This window comes from Homo sapiens, chromosome 20 (genome assembly GCF_000001405.40).
Source record: "Homo sapiens chromosome 20, GRCh38.p14 Primary Assembly".
In the NCBI taxonomy this organism is placed as follows: domain Eukaryota; kingdom Metazoa; phylum Chordata; class Mammalia; order Primates; family Hominidae; genus Homo; species Homo sapiens.
Window position 1 is genome coordinate 5,563,770 of NC_000020.11, and position 20,917 is coordinate 5,584,686.

Below are 20,917 nucleotides of genomic sequence, written 5' to 3' on the forward strand. Positions count from 1 at the left end.
TTTAACCACTGAGATTTTAATGATTTAGATTGTTTTATGAACCCCTCAAGAAATACATACCTAAATATTTTAACAAAATCTTCATTATGGTCACTTCTCTCCTTTCTAAATCACACACACATTTCCATGCACGTGTTAGCAAGTAGCTAATACAGTAGATAAAACCCATTAAGCTAATAAGCTCCACTCCCCAAATAAGAATTTCCACATAATAGTAAACTAAAACTACCTATTTTTGCCTAAGAAATCTACTATACCTGACACGAGCAGAAAAAGACAACGAGAAAGACCAGAATTTAGAAACTGGAGTCGGTGGAACAAAAGCAGAGCCAGCATCTCCTTGGCATCTGTGTGGGCTTTCCTGATGCTGTCAAGGGTGTTCCCGTATTAAATTGTATCTAGTTTTTAAGTCTTCATGCTAGTTTTTGTGTGAAGATCTATTTTTTCAGAGTGAATTTCTGAAATTTCAATATCATCTTAAGTAAGAGGGGCACTTATTTTCTTTGGTTGAAGAAACTCGCTTCCCTCTCAAAACTAAGGAACAGTTTAAAATATTGTTAAAAAAAAAAAACCAAAAACTGCCTCTCCCACCATCACCTTTCTCTAACTCCTATACCTGTGCCCTCTCCTTCCCATTTATAAACAGAAATATATGGATTTGCTACTCTTACCAAATTACCATACTGAGATGGGAATTTTTATTTATTTGAATAGAAGTTACTCTTGGGGAAAGAAAAAAAGTAGCACAAGTATACTACACAAGAATGAATCTTATTGGCTGGGTGTGTTGGCTCATGCCTGTATTCTCAACCCTTGGGGAGGCTGAGGCTGGGGGACAGCGTAAGTCCAGAGGTTTGAATTCCCTTGAGACCAGCCTGCGCAACAAGGTGAGACCATCTCTACAAAAAAATAAAAAAATTAGCCAGGCATGGTGGTGCACAACTGCAGTTCCAGCTATTTGAGAGACTGAGTGAGGTGGGAGGATCGCTTGAGCCAAGGAAGTTGAGGCTGCAGTGAGCCCTGATCACGCCACTGCACTCAGCCTAGATGTCAAAGTGGGATTGTCACTCACACACACACACACAAACACACAAAGTATCTTCTCTAAAAGGCACCAATGATGATAAATTCATATTAACATTGTCTTTAACACAGCCTTTTTAGGATCCTTTTAAGAAACAAAAGTAAATTATTCATACATGACAAAGTTAATGATAGCCTTGCCTTGGTTTTCCTCAATAACTTACCATCTTAAGAGAAGGAAATGGCTGATTTTCTGAAAAGGAATTTTCCTCCTGAACCACAGATTCTGAAATTTTAAAACACAAAATCTCAGTAAATAAAATGCCACTATATCACTAAGAGCTTTCTTAAATCCTTAGTGCCAAAAAAAACAGGGAAAGAGAGAGAGAGTGTGTGTGTGAGCAAGCGCGAGAGCATAAGTAACTCTGAGATCCCTTTTTTTTTTTTTAATAGAGGTAGGGTCTCACTCTGTCATCTAGGCTGGAACACAGTGGAATGATCATTGCTCAATGTAGCCTCAAACTCAAGCAGGCTCAAGCATTGATCCTCCAGCCTCAGACTCCCGAGTAGCTATGCCCATAGACATGCACTACCACATCCAGCTCATTTTAAAAATTTTTTTGTAGAAATGAGGTCTAGTTGCTCAGGCTGATCTTGAACTCCTGGCCTCAAGCAATTCTCCCAACTTGGCTTCCAAAACTGCTGGGATTACAGGAGTGAGCCACCGTGTCCAGCCCCTATATATAGTATTTTTTAAAGGCTCTTGTATGTATTAAACATCAAAAACCCATTTTCTAAATAAGCATCATGAAAACCAGTTTGCAACGATTAATAGACACCAGTCTGTAGACCCAAGAGTGATTATTTTCTTATAAAATTTGTACTAAAGTACTACTCTTTAAAAAGTAGTCACAAGCTGTGATTTTGCTATTTCTCCAGAGAATTAAGAGTTGTGTGATTTTGCTAAGACTACTATTTGAAATACTAAAATCAGCTCAGAAATTACAAATTAAGAGAATATACAGCAACTATTGTGCTTTTGTTATTATCAATTAATCAATATAGACTAAAAAAAAGAATTATTTTCCAAAAGTGGAAAAAATTAAAATATCAAGTTTTTCTTAAAAACACACATACAAAACCTGTATTACAAATTCAAAGACAAAATCATGTATAATTTTCCAGCAGAATAAACTAAAGGTAAAATTCATTTTATTACTAAGACTCATAAAATATCTATAAGCCTATATAGTTACGTTTATGCTCTGGGTGGGGATAATCTTTGGTCTTAAGCACTTCACAATCTTTATAAAGATATTAAAACTGTATGGTTATCACAATTACAGATAAACACCTATATCTATAGTACACCTACTATATGTACAGCACCATCAGTCTCTGGGAATATAAAAACATTTTCCTACCCCTGAGGGGCTAACACTCTAGTTGAAAAGACAGGACATATATGAAAATAAAGGATTTAAAATGAATACAATAAGCCTCATATGAATGGCACAGCCATTAATTTCTATGGGAGTAGAAAAGTGAAGTGAAATTATAAAGGGATGTGGTAGGCAGGACAAAGCTTGCCCACGGTCATAACAGGTAAATGAAGAGCTGGTTCAAATTGACCCTGTAGCCGGATTCTATAGTTGATTTACTTTCTACTTTGTAATGGTTAAGAATGTTTGGAAAGATTGATAAGTATTAACACTTTGATCATCAAGCTAAGAAAAGCAATGCAATGGTTACTATACACATGATATATATTTAGTAGAAAACAAATGCAAATTCATTTCCGAACTATAAAATTACATTTAGAAGGCCCAGTATTATACTCATAAAAATGACCAAGTATCAAGTATGTGCTAAAATCGATTTTAAAAATCCTATTAATGCTAACTACAAAAGGAAAACAGTGTTTCCATATTGGTACATACCTTTCCGATCCTTAGATTTCAGTGCAGTCACATGAGTGAGCTAGAAAGCACACAAACAAAATGAAATCAGAAAGGAAGCCTTAGCTTATGAAGAGATGGTTAACAGAAAATATCCTGAAAAACTAGCAAGATAAAAAAGCCTATAAAACGTAGAACTATCAGTTTAATAAGAATAAGCACTAGCCACTATATATATTTTATATGTGCATACACATTTAAGATAATGATCAAATACTCAATTAGGGAAGAATATAAAAATTCTTCACTAGATAACTGTTAATAGGGAATCATGCATTTATTTAGGTTCCTAATAGGGACAGGAAGAGGTACCATGTAAAATTACATGATACAAAATATTCAAAGGTATTGGAAATTAACATATATTTACCAACTATTGCATAAAAGGCCTATTGTAAAATAATGACCATTATATGAAGAAGGGCTACTGCAGAACAGAAGCAACCTAAAGATTATGAATGAGAAGGGCTAGCCACTATGGCCTACAAAAACTTATGGTCTAGTTCGTTCCTTCATAAATACAAAAACCAGTGGGGTCCATGGAAATGGTTGGAGAAGACAGCTGGATCGATACAGAACCCTTCTCCCAAACAGAACAGAATACCAAAGCACATAGTCTACACATTAAATTTAACAGTCATCCCCATGTGCAAAGAGAACATAACCATATACAAGCAAGTACAATAGTCCTAAAGCTAAGGGATAATTTACATTTCATGTTATTATTACTACCTTTAACAACTGGAGTTGGTCAAATGTTAATTCTTTTACTGGAATTTCAAATAATTCAACTGGATCAGCATCAAATTTCTAAAAAAAAAAAAAAAAGAAAGAAAGAAAAAGAAAGAATAAAGAAAATTAAGAGAAAAGTAAGCCCTAAATTATTACTGAATGCTTACACTAGACAGGCCTAGCAACTCTATTTACTCAACAATGAGAATAACTGTTAGTAGCCATACTGAGCCCATGCAGGACAGCCCTTCTAACCTAACACCACCTCCCAGCCCTTATATTCTGGCTTTCATTTTTATTGCAGTGTAGAATACCTGGAAGGAAAATGCAGCTGGCAGAAAGCTGTAGCGCTGAAGACAGCTGAGGATAGAACCAGAAGTCAGTCATCTCCCCTACTTCCTGTTATGCTGTCTATACATTTTCTTTGATACTTATCCATACTACGTGACTAGAAATCAATATGAAAGTACTATATAAAATTTATTTCTGTAAGTTTCTAATCTTTTCGAAGACTTTTAAACATCTGATTAAAAACAGCAGACACACCAAATGTCATGAAAAAATTGTCTGATTAGCTATAAACCATAATACTTAAGCACTCTGAGCTACCATGTTTCCCCCACAAGCAAATCTGTTGTATTAGGTTTTAATGTCTATCAAATGATCAATGTCACTCTGTTGAAGGCACTTCTACAGGAAATGAATTAAGGTATCACCAATAAATCATCTGTCCAACAAATATACTTAGTATATATATATATATACTTAGTATATATATATACTAAAATCCATCACATATATATTCATTCATATGCATTGGTATGAACCTGTACATGCATAAAGTTTTTCTGGAATACACAAGAAACTATTAAAAGTAAGACAGTAAGAACAAGGAAAAACAGGAAAGATTTATTTCTCATTTCATAATCTTCTGAAATACTTTTTTTTTTTCTAATGAAGATGAATTGTTTTTATAAGAAAAACACCAGCTTAAAAATCAAAATTCAGTATAAAAGTTCATTGCTTTCATTTCTCAATTAACTCATTCAGGTTCAACTTCAGATCAAGATATAGCCTGGTGAAAATGGGGCATTAGTAATATTTGAACTCTCATTGATTTTCAGAAGTAAACTGTAGCTTGGCCGGGTGCAGTGGCTCACATCTGTAATCCCAGCACTTTGGGAGGCTGAGATGGGCGGATCACCTGAGGTCAAGAGTTTGAGACCAGCCTGGCCAACATGGTGAAGCCCCGTCTCTACTAAAAAATACAAAAATTAGTTGGGCTTGGTCCAGCTACTTAGGAGTCTGCAGTCCTAGCTACTTAGGAGGCTGAGGCAGGAGAATCGCTTGAACCCAGGAGGTGGAGGTTGAGCCAAGATCACATCACTGCACTCCAGCCTAGGCAACAGAGCGAGACTCGGTCTCAAATAAATAAATAAATAAATTGCAGCTAGATCAATTAATCTCAATCTTGGCTAATAAGATCATTTATCACTTCACTCTTTCTCATTTATCTTTTCATTAATGTTCTTCCATGACTAAAACAACCTGTTCCATGTGTTTGGTCACTCTACTCATGTAATCTGAATAGATGCACCTCCTTCCTTTCCTCCCTTCCTCCCCTCCCCTCCCCTTCCTTCCTTTCTTCCTTCTTTCTCCTAATACCATTTCGCAGAAACAAAAGGGTCCTTTCCTATACATAATATATACATCATAATAATCCAACCCCTAGGAACTCTGATTAAAATTCACCAGCAGGTGGTGCCAGGGTCTTTGTCACACTCTTTAATACAACAGACAGTATCTGGTACAGTGATGCTAGCCAACTAGACTAACTTTAAATCAACTCAGTTGGAAATTAATACCCAACACAGTTTTAGAGTCTAAGTCCCCGAGAAATCACTTGGTTACATAGTATACTGACGTTTAGGGACTATATCATTATCATGATTATGTTTGTACAAAAACAATTACAGTTTTTTTACAGCTATGTAAGTTTTTAAATCTCATTCTGGATCCCCCCCCGCCATTATGCCCTCTTCTCCATTCTTCTGGTCCCCTACTCCAATTCAGGCTTACCTTTCCTGTAGCCCACATTGCTGCTCGCCCTGCCTGCAGTCTCTGTCCTCTGAAATTCCTATTTCATCAGCTACCAAAACATTAGTCTTGAACATTTCCCTTTTCAGCTAAAAAGTATTTCCTACCCCCCTAGTTCTTGAGTCTAAACCTCTTCACTGAGGCCCTCCACCATCTAACTCCAAACCTCTTTTTGAATTTTTCACTGTGGCTCACTAGCCTTATTAATTGAAGAAGCTTGAAGCAGAAACAGCTGGAATCCTAGAAAACAAACACTATGATATCTTCCTCTCTTGCCTCAATATAGTAGCATAGACAGACCGCTACAGAAACCACCTGGAATGTCCCTTTTTTGTAACATAATAAAGTATTTTCAGCAATAGAGACCCTACTCTAGGAAGGCAGTATTCCCAACTCATCACTGTCTCAATGTTGCAAGAGCATGAGAGGGAAGGACTGGCAGTAATTCACCAAGAAAATGAATTAACCAATTCTATTTAATAAGTAATTAAAAATATAAAAAAACTTCCTAGTTTTTAAACCTTTTACTTAACATTAAGAGTTTGAAATGAAGAAATTTCAACGTACCTTTTTCATAGTCAAACAACAGGTAAGATCATGATATACCACGGGCACAAAGTCCTTTGAAAGGTGTACGTCAAATTCTACAAAGGCTGCACCCTGACAGAAGGAAGCAAGTATTTGAAAAACATTGCCTGGTACACAGTACCTCTCAAACTGCAAGAACGTAAGAAATTTTTGTTCACTATAAAATTACAGACCTGTACAAACTTTTTCTAAAAAGTAATGTATTCTCTTAAAACAATGGGTTTTCTCTTTTGCAAAAGCACAGCTACTTTTTCCTGGCAAAAAAAAAAAAAAAAAAAAACGGACACAGATTCACTTCAAAACACTCAGAGGCACCGCAGTGGCAGTGAGACAGCCTTCGGGGCTGTTACTTCTGCAACTGCTATTGGCAGAAAAGGAACCCAACAAAAGCCCCAAGCTCAGGGATCCCACACATTGCTGCCCACTGCCCCTGCAAACCTTAGCTGCACAGCTAACATGAAAGATTCAGTGAGGGAAGGAATAAGCTGCAAAGTGCCTTAGCTCGGCTCCTTAGGGCACCTGAGCAGTCCACTGTACAGCCTTTCTCAGCAAAATGTCAGTACGGAATGAAAGAGGAAGCCATAACTGCTGATGAACAGACAGAGACAACAGAAACAGGAAAAAGATGATGCTCATGTCCGGTTTCCTAATGAAAGCCAAACAAATGAGGAAGACATGAATTATAGTTAAAGCCAAATTTCTAAAAAGCAGATCCACACAGAAGGAGCAGGACTGAAATTAATTTAAAGAAAAAAAGAAAGAAAGAAAGAAAAAGGCAGATCCACTCACCCCTATGAATTAATTCAGTTAAAGTCTGTATGTCATAAACTGACATACAAATATGTACCTTTTCTGAAAGGCCAGCTGCGATAGAAGGAAGCAAGGTTTGAAAATTCTGTAACACTACTTTACTGAAAAGATGGGTGCATTTCTACCCCTTACACTGGCTCTAAATTGTCAAGGGGTAGAACTCAACTTGGGAATACACATGGATCACAGACTAGAGTCAAAGGAGTTCAAGAGTCTGGCGAGGAAGCCTACTTCCTTGCAGACTTCCGAAGCGGGAAACTTAGCACCTCTTATTTTAAACAAGACAATACCAAAACCCTTTCTACCAAAGAGGACAAACCCTACCATTCCCAAGTAGTTCTAACTATTAAACATTTTAAGTTGTAGCTTTCTAATTTTTTTGGTTTTAGACAACCATAATCCTTATAGAAAATAATTTTAGTAGAAGACAAAACTTAATCCCAAAATTCATCATGAGGTTTAAGTAATAAGCCAATAACAGACCGAAACATCTTCATAGATATGTATTTAACATTAAAATAAGCCAATAATAATTAAAATAACACATCTGAAAATGTGATCCCTGTGAGTTATAAAGGATTTCATTAGAATATGGAAGAAAAAGGCTTAATGAAATCCTCTCTCAAAAAGCACATATCTAAAAATTATTGGCAGGGTGCAGTGGCTCACGCCTATAATGCCAGCACTTTGGGAGGCTGAGGCAGTCAGATCACCTGAGGTAAGAAGTTCAAGACCAGCCTGGCCAACATGGCGAAACCCCATCTCTACTAAAATTACAAAAATTAGCTGGGCATGGTGGCAAACGCCTGTAATCTCAGCTACTCGGGAGGCTGAAACTGGAGAATCGCTTGAACCTAGGAGGTGGAGGTTGCAGTGAACCAAGATCATGCCACTGCACTCCAGCCTGAGTGACAGAACAAAACTCCATCTCAAAAAAAAAAAAAATTTAACAGGGTCATCACACCGGCATGATGGTTCATGCCTGTAATCTTAGCACTTAGGGAGGCCAAGTGAGGGGATCGCTTGAGCCCACAAGTTCGAAACCAGTCTGAGCAACATAGTGAGATCCCGTCTCTACAAAAAATACAACAATTAGCCAGGTATGATGACACATGCCTGTGGTCCCAGCTACTTGAGAGGCCAAAGCAGGAGGATCATTTGAGCCCAGGAGGTTGAGGCTATAGTGAGCTATGATCCTGCCACTGCACTCCAGCCTGGGTGACGAAGCCATCACGTTTATAGCTAATGAAATGATGTTTAGACTAGCTATGACAGTAAAACTGGTTCCAAATTAATTATAAACTATAGCCTAATAATATTAATAAATATCATATTTTCAACAGAAAGATAAAACAATCTACTAACATTTTAAACATTAAAATTATGATCAATTCAAGATGTCATGAATTTTAAAATGCATTATTTTATATACCACTAAGAGGGGGAAATAAGCTGTCAATTAAATTATGACTCAAAGCTAAGTTGTAAACCCATTCCAATTTCCAAGAGGCTAAAATATTTTAAAAGTACACCTTAGAATAGATGTTAGTTCATATAAGTAATAAAGCTAAACACTGACTAACCAAGTTTACTTCCCGAACTATTTTTTACAAGGCAAAGTTGAGGGCATATGGAGTACACTGTGGAAAAAGTGGAAATTAAAAAATGAGATGTTCCTCCATTTTCCCCCTAGTTTCACTTTGGAATGTGAGGCGGTCCAGACAAGTACAGAGGAATAGGGGAGAAAAATCTCAGGTTATTGATTAAAAATGTCCAAGTTGCAGTTGCTGAAAATACTAACAGCTAAAAAACAGACTCTAACTGGATTAAAAAAAAAAATAAGGAGTTAAGGAAGACAAGTTGGTATGCAAGGGTGGAAACTGATACTTTTTTATTTATTTATTTTTTAAAAGAGATAGAGTCCAATTCTGTCACCCAGGCTGGAGTGCACTGGACGGATCATAGCTCATTGTAGCCTCAAACTCCTGGGCTCCAGCAAAGCTCCAGCCTCAGACTCCCAAGTAGGTGGGACTATAGGTATGAGCCACCACACTCAGCTGATACACTTCTTTCAAGTGTTACATAAAATCACCATCAAATCTTTCCTTCTTTTTTTTTTTTTGAGACTGAGTCTCACTCTGTCATCCAGGCTGGAAAACGGTGGCATGATCTCAGCTCACAGCAACCTCCACCTCCCAGATTCAAGCAATTCTTGAATTGCCTCAGTCTCCCAAGTAGCTGGGATAACAGGCGCGGGCCACCATGCCAGGTTAATTTTTTGTATTTTTAGTACAGGCTGGGTTTCACCATGTTGGCCAGGCTGGTCTTGAACTCCCAACCTCAGGTGATCTGCCCATCTCGGCCTCCCAAAGTGCTGGGATTACAGGCATCAGCCACTGTGCCCAGCCAGCATTCTTTTTTGAGATAATAAATTTTGAGTAATTGAGACAAAAGAAAGTTCCCACTAAGCATTGGTTTTCACTACCTGAATAATGTGCTTATTCAGATACTCACTTTGGAAAAAATGCCTTTAGAAAGATTTGAGCCCAGGAGTTTGAAACAAGCCTGAGCAACATAGTGAGACCCTGAATCTACAAAAGAGAAAAAAATTTAAAAATTAGCCAGGCATGGTGGCACATGCCTCTAGTCCCACTACTACGGAGGCTGAGGTGGGAGGAATGCCTGAGCCCAGGAGGTTGAGGCTGCAGTGAGCCATGTTCGCACCACTGCATTCCAGGCCCAGGTGACAGAACAAGACCCTGTCTCAAAAAAAAAGAAAAGATGCTTATGGTTCTATTGTCTTCATTCCGATCTTCACCATGGATCTGAATATAAATGCCAAGAGATATTCCCCTAACTATTAATAAAAACTGGAGGAGACTCCCTGATCCATATTTCTCTACCTCAGCAGTCTAAAGTTGTTTAAAGGTTACTTACATGACTAGCAGCATTTCTTAAAGAAGCAATAGTATTTTCTTGAACTTTAGCCAGCCTGAAAAGAAGAAATACAGTTAACATAGACTATAGAGAAGATAAAGAAACAAATGTAATAAAGAAGCAAAGTGTACTTTCAACAATGGGAAATGGTACTTATTCTGTATTCTGAGGCCAGTTTTGACATCCCCAAAATATGACTATGGCTGTGACTAGGAATTTATTCCTTAAATGCAAGCTCTGACAATGATAGATATTTACAAGCTGAATACCGACATGGCCAACACAACATGCACTTGCCTTGTACCATGGACTTTTTTCTTGGAGACATGTAAAGTGATCAATAAAAACAATCCTTTTCAATGGCAGAAGAAATAGAGACATAGAAACCTGCTCCTTGCAATACAGCCTCCAAAGGACTTAATACTGGCAGACTGTGGGGGAATGAGAAACAACTGACACACACACAGGATAGAAGTATGGAAACTCTATTCATAATAAGAACAGAAAGGGGGAAAATGTATTGTTTAAGATGGGGCCTGAGAAGTTGCGGTGGCTCACGCCTGTAACCCCAGCACTTTGGGAGGCTGAGGCAGGCAGATCACTTGAGCTCAGGAGTTCAAGACTGGCCTGGGCAACAAGGTGAGACCCGGTCTCTACAGAAAAATACCAAAAAAATAGCTGGGCATGGTACCACGTGCCTGTGGTTCCAGACACTGGGGAGACTGAGGTGGGAGAATGGCTTGAGCTCCGGAAATTAAGGCTGCAGTGAGCCAAGAATGTGCCACTGCACTCCAGCCTGAACGACAGAGACTCTGTCTCAAAAACAAACAAATAAAAAAGGTGGGGGCAGGTGAGGGTGCTTCTTCCTTAAATAGTTATTTTTTTATAGACCTTAAAATTAAAAAATCCTAATGATCTCCACAGCATCACTTTAAAATAAAATGGGGAGGGATTAAAATTTACAGTAGAAAATCTGTGGCATGAGCTATCGCACTGGTAATTAAATAAACTTACAAAAGTAGAAGGGGAAGACAACTATTCCAGGCTACAATCTAATGTCTGTTGAGAAGACAGAGCATCTTTCGTTGAGGTCCAAGTTAACTAATATTCCTTGAGTTTAGTCACACTTTTCTAGACTTGGGATAATGTTGTCCAAATCTTTGCATTTTATAGATGCGGAAACTCAGACTCAGAGAGGGCAACACGTCAAAAGTAAGGACCATGACACAGACACACACACTGATGCTCCCAAAGCTTTCTGCACCAAGCTTTCCTTCCTGCCTTTCTACTTTTAATGTCTTCCTCCTTATCAATTCAGTAGATATATTAAAAAACTGACCAGAATCTTAAGGTTGGTCTCTAACCCCAATTACCAAATTACACTAAATTCCCTTGGTAAATAATAAAAACATCATTTGACCTTTGCTGAGAAAACCAGTGTAACTCTACCGAACATAAGCTACACCAAATGCTAATCCTACTCAAATATTCAACTTACTGGGCAGTTGTTGTAGAGTTTCCTGCACCTCGATGGCCAACATCCAATGGTATTCTTGGCTTCCAATACTTGGAAAATGAAGATTTCATGTCACAACTGTATCCTGGTAATGGCTTAATAATTATATAGTCAACTTTCATAGGAAAAAAGAGGGAGGAACAAAAATAAAAATGATTAAAAGGGCCATTATGAGCTACATTATATTTAAATACCACTCAAGTCAGCTTTATCAGTTTCTGTCAAACGGAAAAAAAAACAAGATTCAAAATGTAACAGACATGCTCCTTAAATTGATACTAAAGCAAATTATTAATTTCATCTTTATCATTATCAAATACTTAATTTGAAACTAATTAAAATTCTAACTTAACCTTGGGTTATTTGGCAGTGTCTTCAACCTTACCTCTCACTTTGCCTATTGTTTTCCGGGAATTTCTGCTCATGATGGGAAGAGTAAGAATTCCAGCACTCTTTCCACTCTCAGCAATGGTGGATGATAAGAGACAAGCTGTACCCACATGTCCAGGAAGGGCATCACCCTGAACTACGTGCTCACTGAGATCTTCCTGAAAAAATGAGATTTAAAATAATCTTAATTTTTAAACTTCTACATTACATACATACATATACACACACACACACACACACAGACACACACACACATATCTCCTATATATGAAATGTGTATATATATATTTTTTTTTTCATAAAAACTTCAGTATTTTCGGCCGGGGTCAGTGGCTCACGTCTGTAATCCCAGCACTTTGGGATGCTGACGCAGGCAGATCACAAGGTCAGGAGTTTGATACTAGTCTGGCTAACATAGTGAAACCCCGTTTCTACTAAAAATACAAAAAATTAGCCGGGGATGGTGGCGCATGCCAGTAGTCCCAGCTACTCGGGAGGCTAATGCAGGAGAAACACTTGAACCCGGGAGGTGGAGGCTGTGGTAAGCTGAGATCGTACCACTGCACTCCAGCCTGGACAACAGAGCAACACTCCATCTCAAAAAAAAAAAAAAAAAAAAATTCAACATTTTCAATTTAAAGATCAAAAAGCTCACAAAGTCAACTGAGAATCTCTGGGGTAGAACTGATAAGAGATACAATCAAATTTATATTCATGTGACTTGATGGCTTCTCTATGATTAAATACATTTTCTTTGTACATTTTAAAATATATATTTTTTTGAGAGAGTCTCATTCAGTATAAGCACTGCTCGAAAATTTCTAATCACTTTTATGTTGTTGTAAGACTAAGATATATTTGTAGTGAATTTTTAACATATTCTCTAAAAATGTTTCTACACAAGTGTCACATGGGATAGGAACTCTCTAGGAAACCAAATACTATACTCACTTTGAGATTACACTGGATATTTTATCAGCCTAGTCTATGAACAAAACACTATTACAAAAAATGTTAAACAAAGTAAAGGGAAGGTAGGACATTCAAGATATAATTTATTAAAAGGTAGGTTTATTAAAAGGAAGCAACAAGAAAATGTTCAGGCCAGGAGCAGAGGCTCACACCTGCAATCTCAGCACTTTGAGGGGCCGAGGCAGGAGGATCGCTTGAGCCCAGGAGTTCAAGACCAGCCTGGGCAACAAAGACCCCATCTCAACAACAAAAAAAAAGTTGTTTTTTTTTTTGTTTTTTTTTTTTTTTCTGAGATGGAGTCTTGCTCTGTCACTCAGGCTGGAGTGCAGTGGTGTGATCTTGGCTCACTGCAACCTCCGCCTCCCAGGTTCAAGCAATTCTCCTGCCTCAGCCTCTCGAGTAGCTGGGATTACAGTCACGCGCCAACACGCCTGGCTAATTTTTGTATTCTTACTCTTGACCTCGTGATCCGCCTGCTTTGGCCTCCCAAAGTGCTGGGATTACAAGCATGAGCCACCGCGCCCGGCCAAAAACGTTTTTTTTAAATTAGCTGGGTGTGGTGGTACACACCTGTAGTCCCAGCTACTTGAGAGGCTGAGGCATGAGGATCACTTGCACCCAGGAGATTGAGGCTGCAGTGAGCCCTGATCATGTCACTATACTCCAGACTGCGCAACAGAGCAAGACCCTCTCTCCAGAAAAAAAAAAAAAAGGAAAAGAAGAAAGGAAAGAAAAAGAAAGAAAGAAGTCATCAAAATTTCATACTTTTATAATAGAGTCCCACAGATCTTACTGCTTACTGGATTAGATTTTTTTAAATCCATTCTGAATTCTGTTGTTCTCAAGAAACTGGCTGGGGGCTACTGGTGGTCAAGACATATTCCCTACCCTCCAAGATTTAAACTCTAATCTAGTATAAATGGGTGTGGAGGTGGAGCTAGAGGGTAAGGAAACCACTACATACCACTACCGAGCCAGGCCCACAGCAGTAAGGACCTTAGGGGATGTACCAAGTATTATGTGTTGGGGAAATATGAACAGCCAGTGGTCTACAAGCACTAGTGTAAGTATCACATGTAGCTCCAGAAAGTTAGCAGCACAGATTGTCAATAACCTGGCACAAGCTTTATAATTTCATTACATATTTACAATATCAAGTTGCAAGTCAGTCCCATCAACAAATCCTAATAAAGTACCTCAATAAATGACAGGCTTCCATCATAGTGAGAACTCAATCACGCTTGTTACATCGGGATGCCCGCCAAGAGGTACAAAGCCTGCCCTGGTCTCTATTTACCACTGATGTTTCCTTTGGATACAATTCATTTACATTTAGATTATTTAGCATACAGGCATCAAAGACATCTGGTCTTGATTGGAAACATCAATACTGCTGTTCTCTTAATTATATTCTTAATAGTACTTGAAGATGACAACTCTAAGTTTTTTAAGCTTAACTGTACAGAAGAGCATACCTCTAAAAAGTTAGCTTTACACAAATTAGATTAAAATGAAAATCAAAACCAACGTTAAAATAAGCTTGTCCCTGCATTCTTTCTCAATCCCCTCACTGCAGTAACTACTCACTTCGAAAAAATCAAAGATTAGTTCCAGGTTATCTGGTTCCATCGTCTGTATGCTGTACTCTGTCCAACGATCAGGCTGCAAGCCATAACCACACTCCGGCTGTGAATGCCTGCACTTGAACTCATTGTCGCTTATTAAGGATATCTCCAAGCTATTGGACATTTTGTGGAGTACAGTGGGAGATACCCTATCATCGTCATCTTCCTCCAGGCCTTCTAGTGTCAGCTTCACCCTACGTAATAAACAAAATAATGAGATGCAAGAAGTGGCAGAAAAGAAAAACTCATACAAATGTTGCCTAAATTCTACATTTTAAAGTGCCCCCAAATATGCTAAATCTTCGAATAACAAAAATAATGTATTATGCAAAGATTACACATACTACAGGTTAAGGAATTAGGTGTGTTTTATAAAATACTGATGTTATTATCTACACATATTTTTGCAAAGTATTAAAATGGGATAAATGACCATTATGCCTACTAAGGTTGTTGATTCTTTCATTAAAAAAAAATAAATAAATCTAGGGCTGGGCCAGTGGCTCACGCCTGTAATCCCAGAACTTTGGGAAGCTGACGCGGGAGGATTGCTTGAGCTCAGAAGTCTGAGACCAGCCTAGGCAACATGGTGAAACCCCATCTGCAAAAAATATAAAAATTATTCAGGCATGTGTCACATGCCTGTAGTCCCAGCTACTCGGGAGGCTGAGGTGGGAGGATCACTTGAGCGTGAGAGGTGGAGGTTGCAGTGAGCCGAGATTGCACCACTGTACTCCAACCTGGGTGACACGGCCAGACCCTCTCTCAAAAGAAAAAATATATATATTATTAAACACATATAATATTCAAAAATTTTTTCCTGTGTGGAAAATTTTTCATTTTCAAGACACAATAAAATTTAGAACACTGAAGAATACTTCCAAAAAATATTTTCTCTTTATGGCATTCTTATGTAGCAGACAATCATTTCCATTATATCAATTTTTTCTTTTTTTGAGACAGAGTCTCGCTCTGCCTGGAATGCAGTGGTGCGATCTCGGCTCACTGCAACTTCCGCCTTCCGGGTTCAAGCGATTCTCCTGCCTCAGCCTCCCAAGCAGCTGGGATTACAGGCGCCCAACAGCATGCCCAGCTAAGTTTTGTATTTTTAGTAGAGACGTGGTTTCACCATGTTGGCCAGTCTGGTCTTGAACTCCCGACCTCAGGTGATCTGCCCACCTCGGCCTCCCAAAGTGCTGGGACTACAGTTGTGAGCCACTGCACCCATTGGCCTCCCAAAGTGCTGGGATTACAGGCGTGAGCCAACACGCCCGACACATTATATCAATTTTACAACAAACTATTGCTACACTATGAAAATTTAAATAGAAACTATAAAAATACATAAGCTTAGAAAACCACTTATCTATATAAACAAATGTTTTCTGGTTCTACATGTAGAAATTAAGACTAACTGCAACAGTAGCAATCTGAGCGGGGATAAGTAGTTCACTATTACAAAGCCCTGTAGTTACTAGAATATGTAACATTATCCCAAACTGTACACTTAAAGGCTAAAACCAATTGAGTCTGAAATCTACAGCACTAGTGAAAACAAATAGCCTAAGTAACACATAAACATGGTCATACCTAAATCTAGATTTTTTTAATTTTTTCTTGGTTATTGACACAGGAGGTTTTTCAGAATAATGCAAACGTAATCTTATTTCAGTCTGACATGTCAGCCATCCAGAATCCAGAGTTTCAACACCATCTGACAGAATAAATATGAAGAACAGTAATTATTATACATGTTTTTTTAAACAACACAATAAGTACCTATAGGCATTGATAATTCTAGTTCACATTCACTTTTTTTTTTTAACCTCCAAAGGAAATACATTTTTTAATGAGATCTAATCCATGATTTGTTTCCTAAACCCCTGCCTAAACCGTTGTTCATATTGCAAACCAAGGGTGACAAAGGTAAAAATCTGAAGGAAAACAATCCTTTCAGCAAATAAGTATTTTTAGAATAACAATAAAAAAAGAATTAACTTTTCCTTTCTAAATATGAAAATAGGCCGGGCGGGCATGGTGGCTCACGCCTGTAATCCCAGCACTTTGGGAGGCCGAGGCAGGCGGATTACGAAGTCAGGAGATTGAGACCATCCTGGCTAACACGGTGAAGCCCCGTCTCTACTACAAATACAAAAAAAATAGCCGGGCGTGGTGGCGGGCGCCTGTAGTCCCAGCTGCTTGGGAGGCTGAGGCAGGAGAATGGCGTGAACCCAGGAGGCAGAGCTTGCAGTGAGCCGAGATCGCACCACTGCACTCCAGCCTGGGCGGCAGAGCGAGACTCCATCTCACAAAAAAAAAAAAAAAGAAAAAGAAAATAATCCCAAAATAATGAATCATTGTGAACAGGCAGATTTAGAATACATATCCCAAAGACCTTCAGAAAAGATCCTGGTTCTATCAATATCATCTTTGAAAAAAATCTAAAAGGAATCAATTCCATTTTTTTTTTTTTTGAGATAGAGTCTTGCTCTGTTGCCCAGGCTAGAGTGCAGTGGCACGATCTCAACTCACTGCAGACTCCACTTCCCAGGTTCAAGAGATTCTCATGCCTCAGCCTCCCAAGTAGCTGGGATTATAGGCGCCCACCATGCCCAGCTGACTTGTATTTTTAGTAGAGACAGGGTGTCACCATGCTGGCCAAGCTGGTCTCAAACTCCTAAACTCCTGACGTCAAGTGATCTGCCTTCCTCAGGCCTCCCAAAGTGCTGGTATTACAGGCATGAGCCACCTCACCCTGCCCACATTCACACTGTAATAATACATTGAGGTTACATAACACTGGTACTCTTCTCCCCAAAGCAAATATACAGGTAGTCTTAAATTCTTCATTAAAATATAACTTTTATATGAAGTAGGGGGAAAAATTAAATGAATATTAATAATTAGCTATACTGTCACAACACAAATAAATTAAAATATTCATATTGAATCCATGACTAAAATAATACAAATCTATTTCAGAAAGAGCACATGGTACAAGATAGCATCTAACCTAGCAATTGTTCTACTAGGGATCACTGTTACACTTCCAAAGCGTCACTTTAGATATTCAGCTGCAACTAGTTATGCCACTAGTGCCGGGGGTGTGAGATATCAGAAGGTAAGAACAGAACTGTGAGTCAGAGCCATATTCTCAAATTTATATATTCTGCCATAAATAAACTGCATGATCGTGACAACACTGTTGGCATTAACTTGAAGCTACTCACCTACTTAACATAGGTAATAAAATGTTCATAAATACCAGAGAAGCTGTCAACTGTTTTGGATCTAAGCTTTTTCATCAACAGAGTCAAAATAAATAAATACCAAGAAACTTCTCTCCTTAGAAATTCTCTCCTAACTTAAGAATGCTTAATAATTGTGGGACTTTAACTTTTTTTTTTTTTTTTTTTTTTTTTTTTTTTTTGCAGAAAAGACAAGTGAGACCATGCATTACAGCTCAAGCAAAAACTACTACTCCAGGCCGGGCGCGGTGGCTCACGCCTGTAATCCCAGCACTTTGGGAGGCCGAGGCGGGCGGATCACGAGGTCAGGAGATCGAGACCATCCTGGCTAACACGGTGAAACCCCGTCTCTACTAAAAATACAAAAAAAATTAGCCGGGCGTGGTAGCGGGCGCCTGTAGTCCCAGCTACTCGGGAGGCTGAGGCAGGAGAATGGCGTGAACCCGGGAGGCGGAGCTTGCAGTGAGCCGAGATCGCGCCACTGCACTCCAGCCTGGGCGACAGAGCGAGACTCCCGTCTCAAAAAAAAAAAAAAAAAAAAAAAAAAAAAAAAACTACTACTCCATAAAGCACTCCAAAACATGTAGTGTAAATATTACTTATGAAGTACTAAAGACTCCAAAACACTTAACACTAAAGCTATTCAAGTACTGTACACTGTTTTCTGATGTAATATAAACAATCCCAAACAAAATCAAGGAAAAGATGTCAAATTCCTATCTAAATACTGCCAGAGCATGTTCATTTCTACCATACATAAACATATATACCTAATAAAAACCACAACCAAAACATTCAGGCCTGTTCTTTCCTGTGCTTAGCAGGAAAGCAAACTGGTTATCAGCAATTTATCTCTGATTCAGAGTCAGTACAAACACAATTCCGCCCACCCGCTTTCCACCTTTTGACTCCTACAGTACAGCATCCAAAATGAGGATGCAGGCTGGGCATGGTGGCTTACGCCTGTAATCCCAACACTTTGGGAGGCCAAGGCAGGCAGATCACTTGAGGTCAGGAGTTTGAGACCAGCCTGACCAATATAGCAAAACCCCATCTCTACTAAAAATACAAAAATTAGCCAGGCGTGATGACACTCACCTATAGTCCCAGCTACTCAGCAGACTGAGGCAGGAGAATTGCTTGAACCCAGCAGGTGGAGGCTGCAGCAAGCGGAGATTGCGCCACTGCATTCCAGCCTGGGTGACAGAGCAAGACTCCATCTCAAAAGAAAAAAAAAAAAAAAGAATGCAGTTTAGTATAATAGCCCTGATACACTGTAAGAATTCCAGCCAGGTGCGGTGGCACACGCCTGTAATCCCAGCACTTTGAGAGGCTGAGGCAGGAGGATCACCTGAAGTCGGGAGTTCAAGACCAGCCTGACCAACATGGAGAAACCCCGTCTCTACTAAAAATACAAAATTAGCTGGGCATGCCTGTAATCCAAGCTACTCAGGAGGCTGAGACAGGAGAATCGCTTGAACCTGGGAGGCAGAGAGTGCGGTGAGCCAAGGTTGTGCCATCGCACTCCAGCCTGGGCAACAGGTGCAAAAACTCCATCTCAAAAAAAAAAAAAAAAAAAAAAAGAATTCCAGTCACCCAGCTGGGCAGTGGCTCACACCTGTAATCCTAGCACTTTGGGAGGCTGAGGTGGGTGGATCACTTGAGGTCAGGAGTTTGACACCAGTCTGGCCAACATGGCAAAACCTCATCTATACTAAAAAAAAATACAAAAATTAGCTGGGCATGGTAGCAGGCGCCTATAATCCCAGCTACTCAGGAGCCTGAGGCAGGAGTATCACTTGAACCTCAGGGTCGGAGGCTGCAGTGAGCCGAGACTGCACCACTGCACTCCAGCCTGGGCGGGTGGGGGTAAGAATTCCAGTCACTGAAGAAAATTAGAATTCTCAGGATATAGTATTTACTAAAACAGAAAGTACACAAATAACATTTTCAACATATTCAGAAGTTAAAGCATTTTCTACTCTATCTCAAACTAACTTTTAAACATTCAGCCAGAATTACTAGAACTCTTTGGTTAGTCTGAATTTTACTGTATATGCAGATATACAAACACACAAAATACACAAACTTAGCCTAAGTGTAACATTTCACACTTTAGATATTTAGAAACATTAATGTAATTTCAAACATAAAAGAGGTAAAAGGCTACATTAGCAGTTCAGTATACTACACACTTTTAATTATATAACATCATATACCTGAAATTGCTAGTCAAATAAAAACCAAAAGGATAACATTTTAAAGTGCAACAATTATATTAGAAACTAATTATTTAACAGTAGGGATTTGTTTTTTGGATCCAGTCTCTATTTTCAAAATCATACTACAGTCATGCATTGCTTAACAATGAAGATAAGTTCTGAGAAATGCACATTAGACGATTTCATTGTTGTTTGTGTAAGTACAGGGAATTTTTCAGCTTCATTATAATCATATGAGACTGCTGCTGCACGTGTGGCCTGTCTTTGACCAAAATATCGTTATGCAGCACATGACTGTATGTTCTATTTTCCTGTGCTATATAACTCCAGTGAAATGTAAAGTAACAATCTCAATCATTTCAGTAAACATTTAAGTAAGTCAGTCTCACTTACTGTGGATTCCAAATTGTCCATCGTCAATAATAATTTCGCTTTCTAGAATTTAAGGAAAATAGAAAATTTAGTTAAAACTCTTGATGCATACCCAGTGAACAACTGAGAAATTACCCACCTTAAAGATCGTTTATAATATTAAATCTACAGCTTAAAAGCAGCCCAAGGTGAATAAGCATATTTATTGTAGCCCTCAATAAAGAATTCCCTTTAAAGGAGGCTAGCAAACAGTAATGGTTCTTACATACTTCGTTGATTGTCCATTATGTTAAAAAGAAGAAAAAGAAAACTCTTCAGAAAGGTGCTCTAGAGGCACTGGGATTAACTTCTACACTAACCAATGTACAAGACTCACAGGTTGCTGGACAACGATAACTCCTTCTTGATTTTCAAACCAAAGGTCTTG

The 20,917-nt window shown here is 38.7% G+C and overlaps 1 protein-coding gene across 1 annotated transcript in view; it reads right to left on the reverse strand.

The window, feature by feature from the left end:
* The window catches only part of GPCPD1 (glycerophosphocholine phosphodiesterase 1), a 66,568-nt gene that overhangs the window by 19,331 nt on the left and 26,320 nt on the right, over nucleotides 1-20,917 (reverse strand). The window contains exons 6-15 of the mRNA NM_019593.5: nucleotides 20,512-20,553; nucleotides 16,239-16,362; nucleotides 14,611-14,842; nucleotides 12,047-12,209; nucleotides 11,644-11,776; nucleotides 10,146-10,200; nucleotides 6,378-6,470; nucleotides 3,714-3,791; nucleotides 2,964-3,003; nucleotides 1,248-1,309 (exon numbers count right to left, since the gene is read on the reverse strand). Of these exons, the coding sequence (NP_062539.1) occupies nucleotides 1,248-1,309; nucleotides 2,964-3,003; nucleotides 3,714-3,791; nucleotides 6,378-6,470; nucleotides 10,146-10,200; nucleotides 11,644-11,776; nucleotides 12,047-12,209; nucleotides 14,611-14,842; nucleotides 16,239-16,362; nucleotides 20,512-20,553 (1,022 nt within the window). The remainder of the gene's footprint in view (nucleotides 1-1,247; nucleotides 1,310-2,963; nucleotides 3,004-3,713; nucleotides 3,792-6,377; nucleotides 6,471-10,145; nucleotides 10,201-11,643; nucleotides 11,777-12,046; nucleotides 12,210-14,610; nucleotides 14,843-16,238; nucleotides 16,363-20,511; nucleotides 20,554-20,917) is intronic.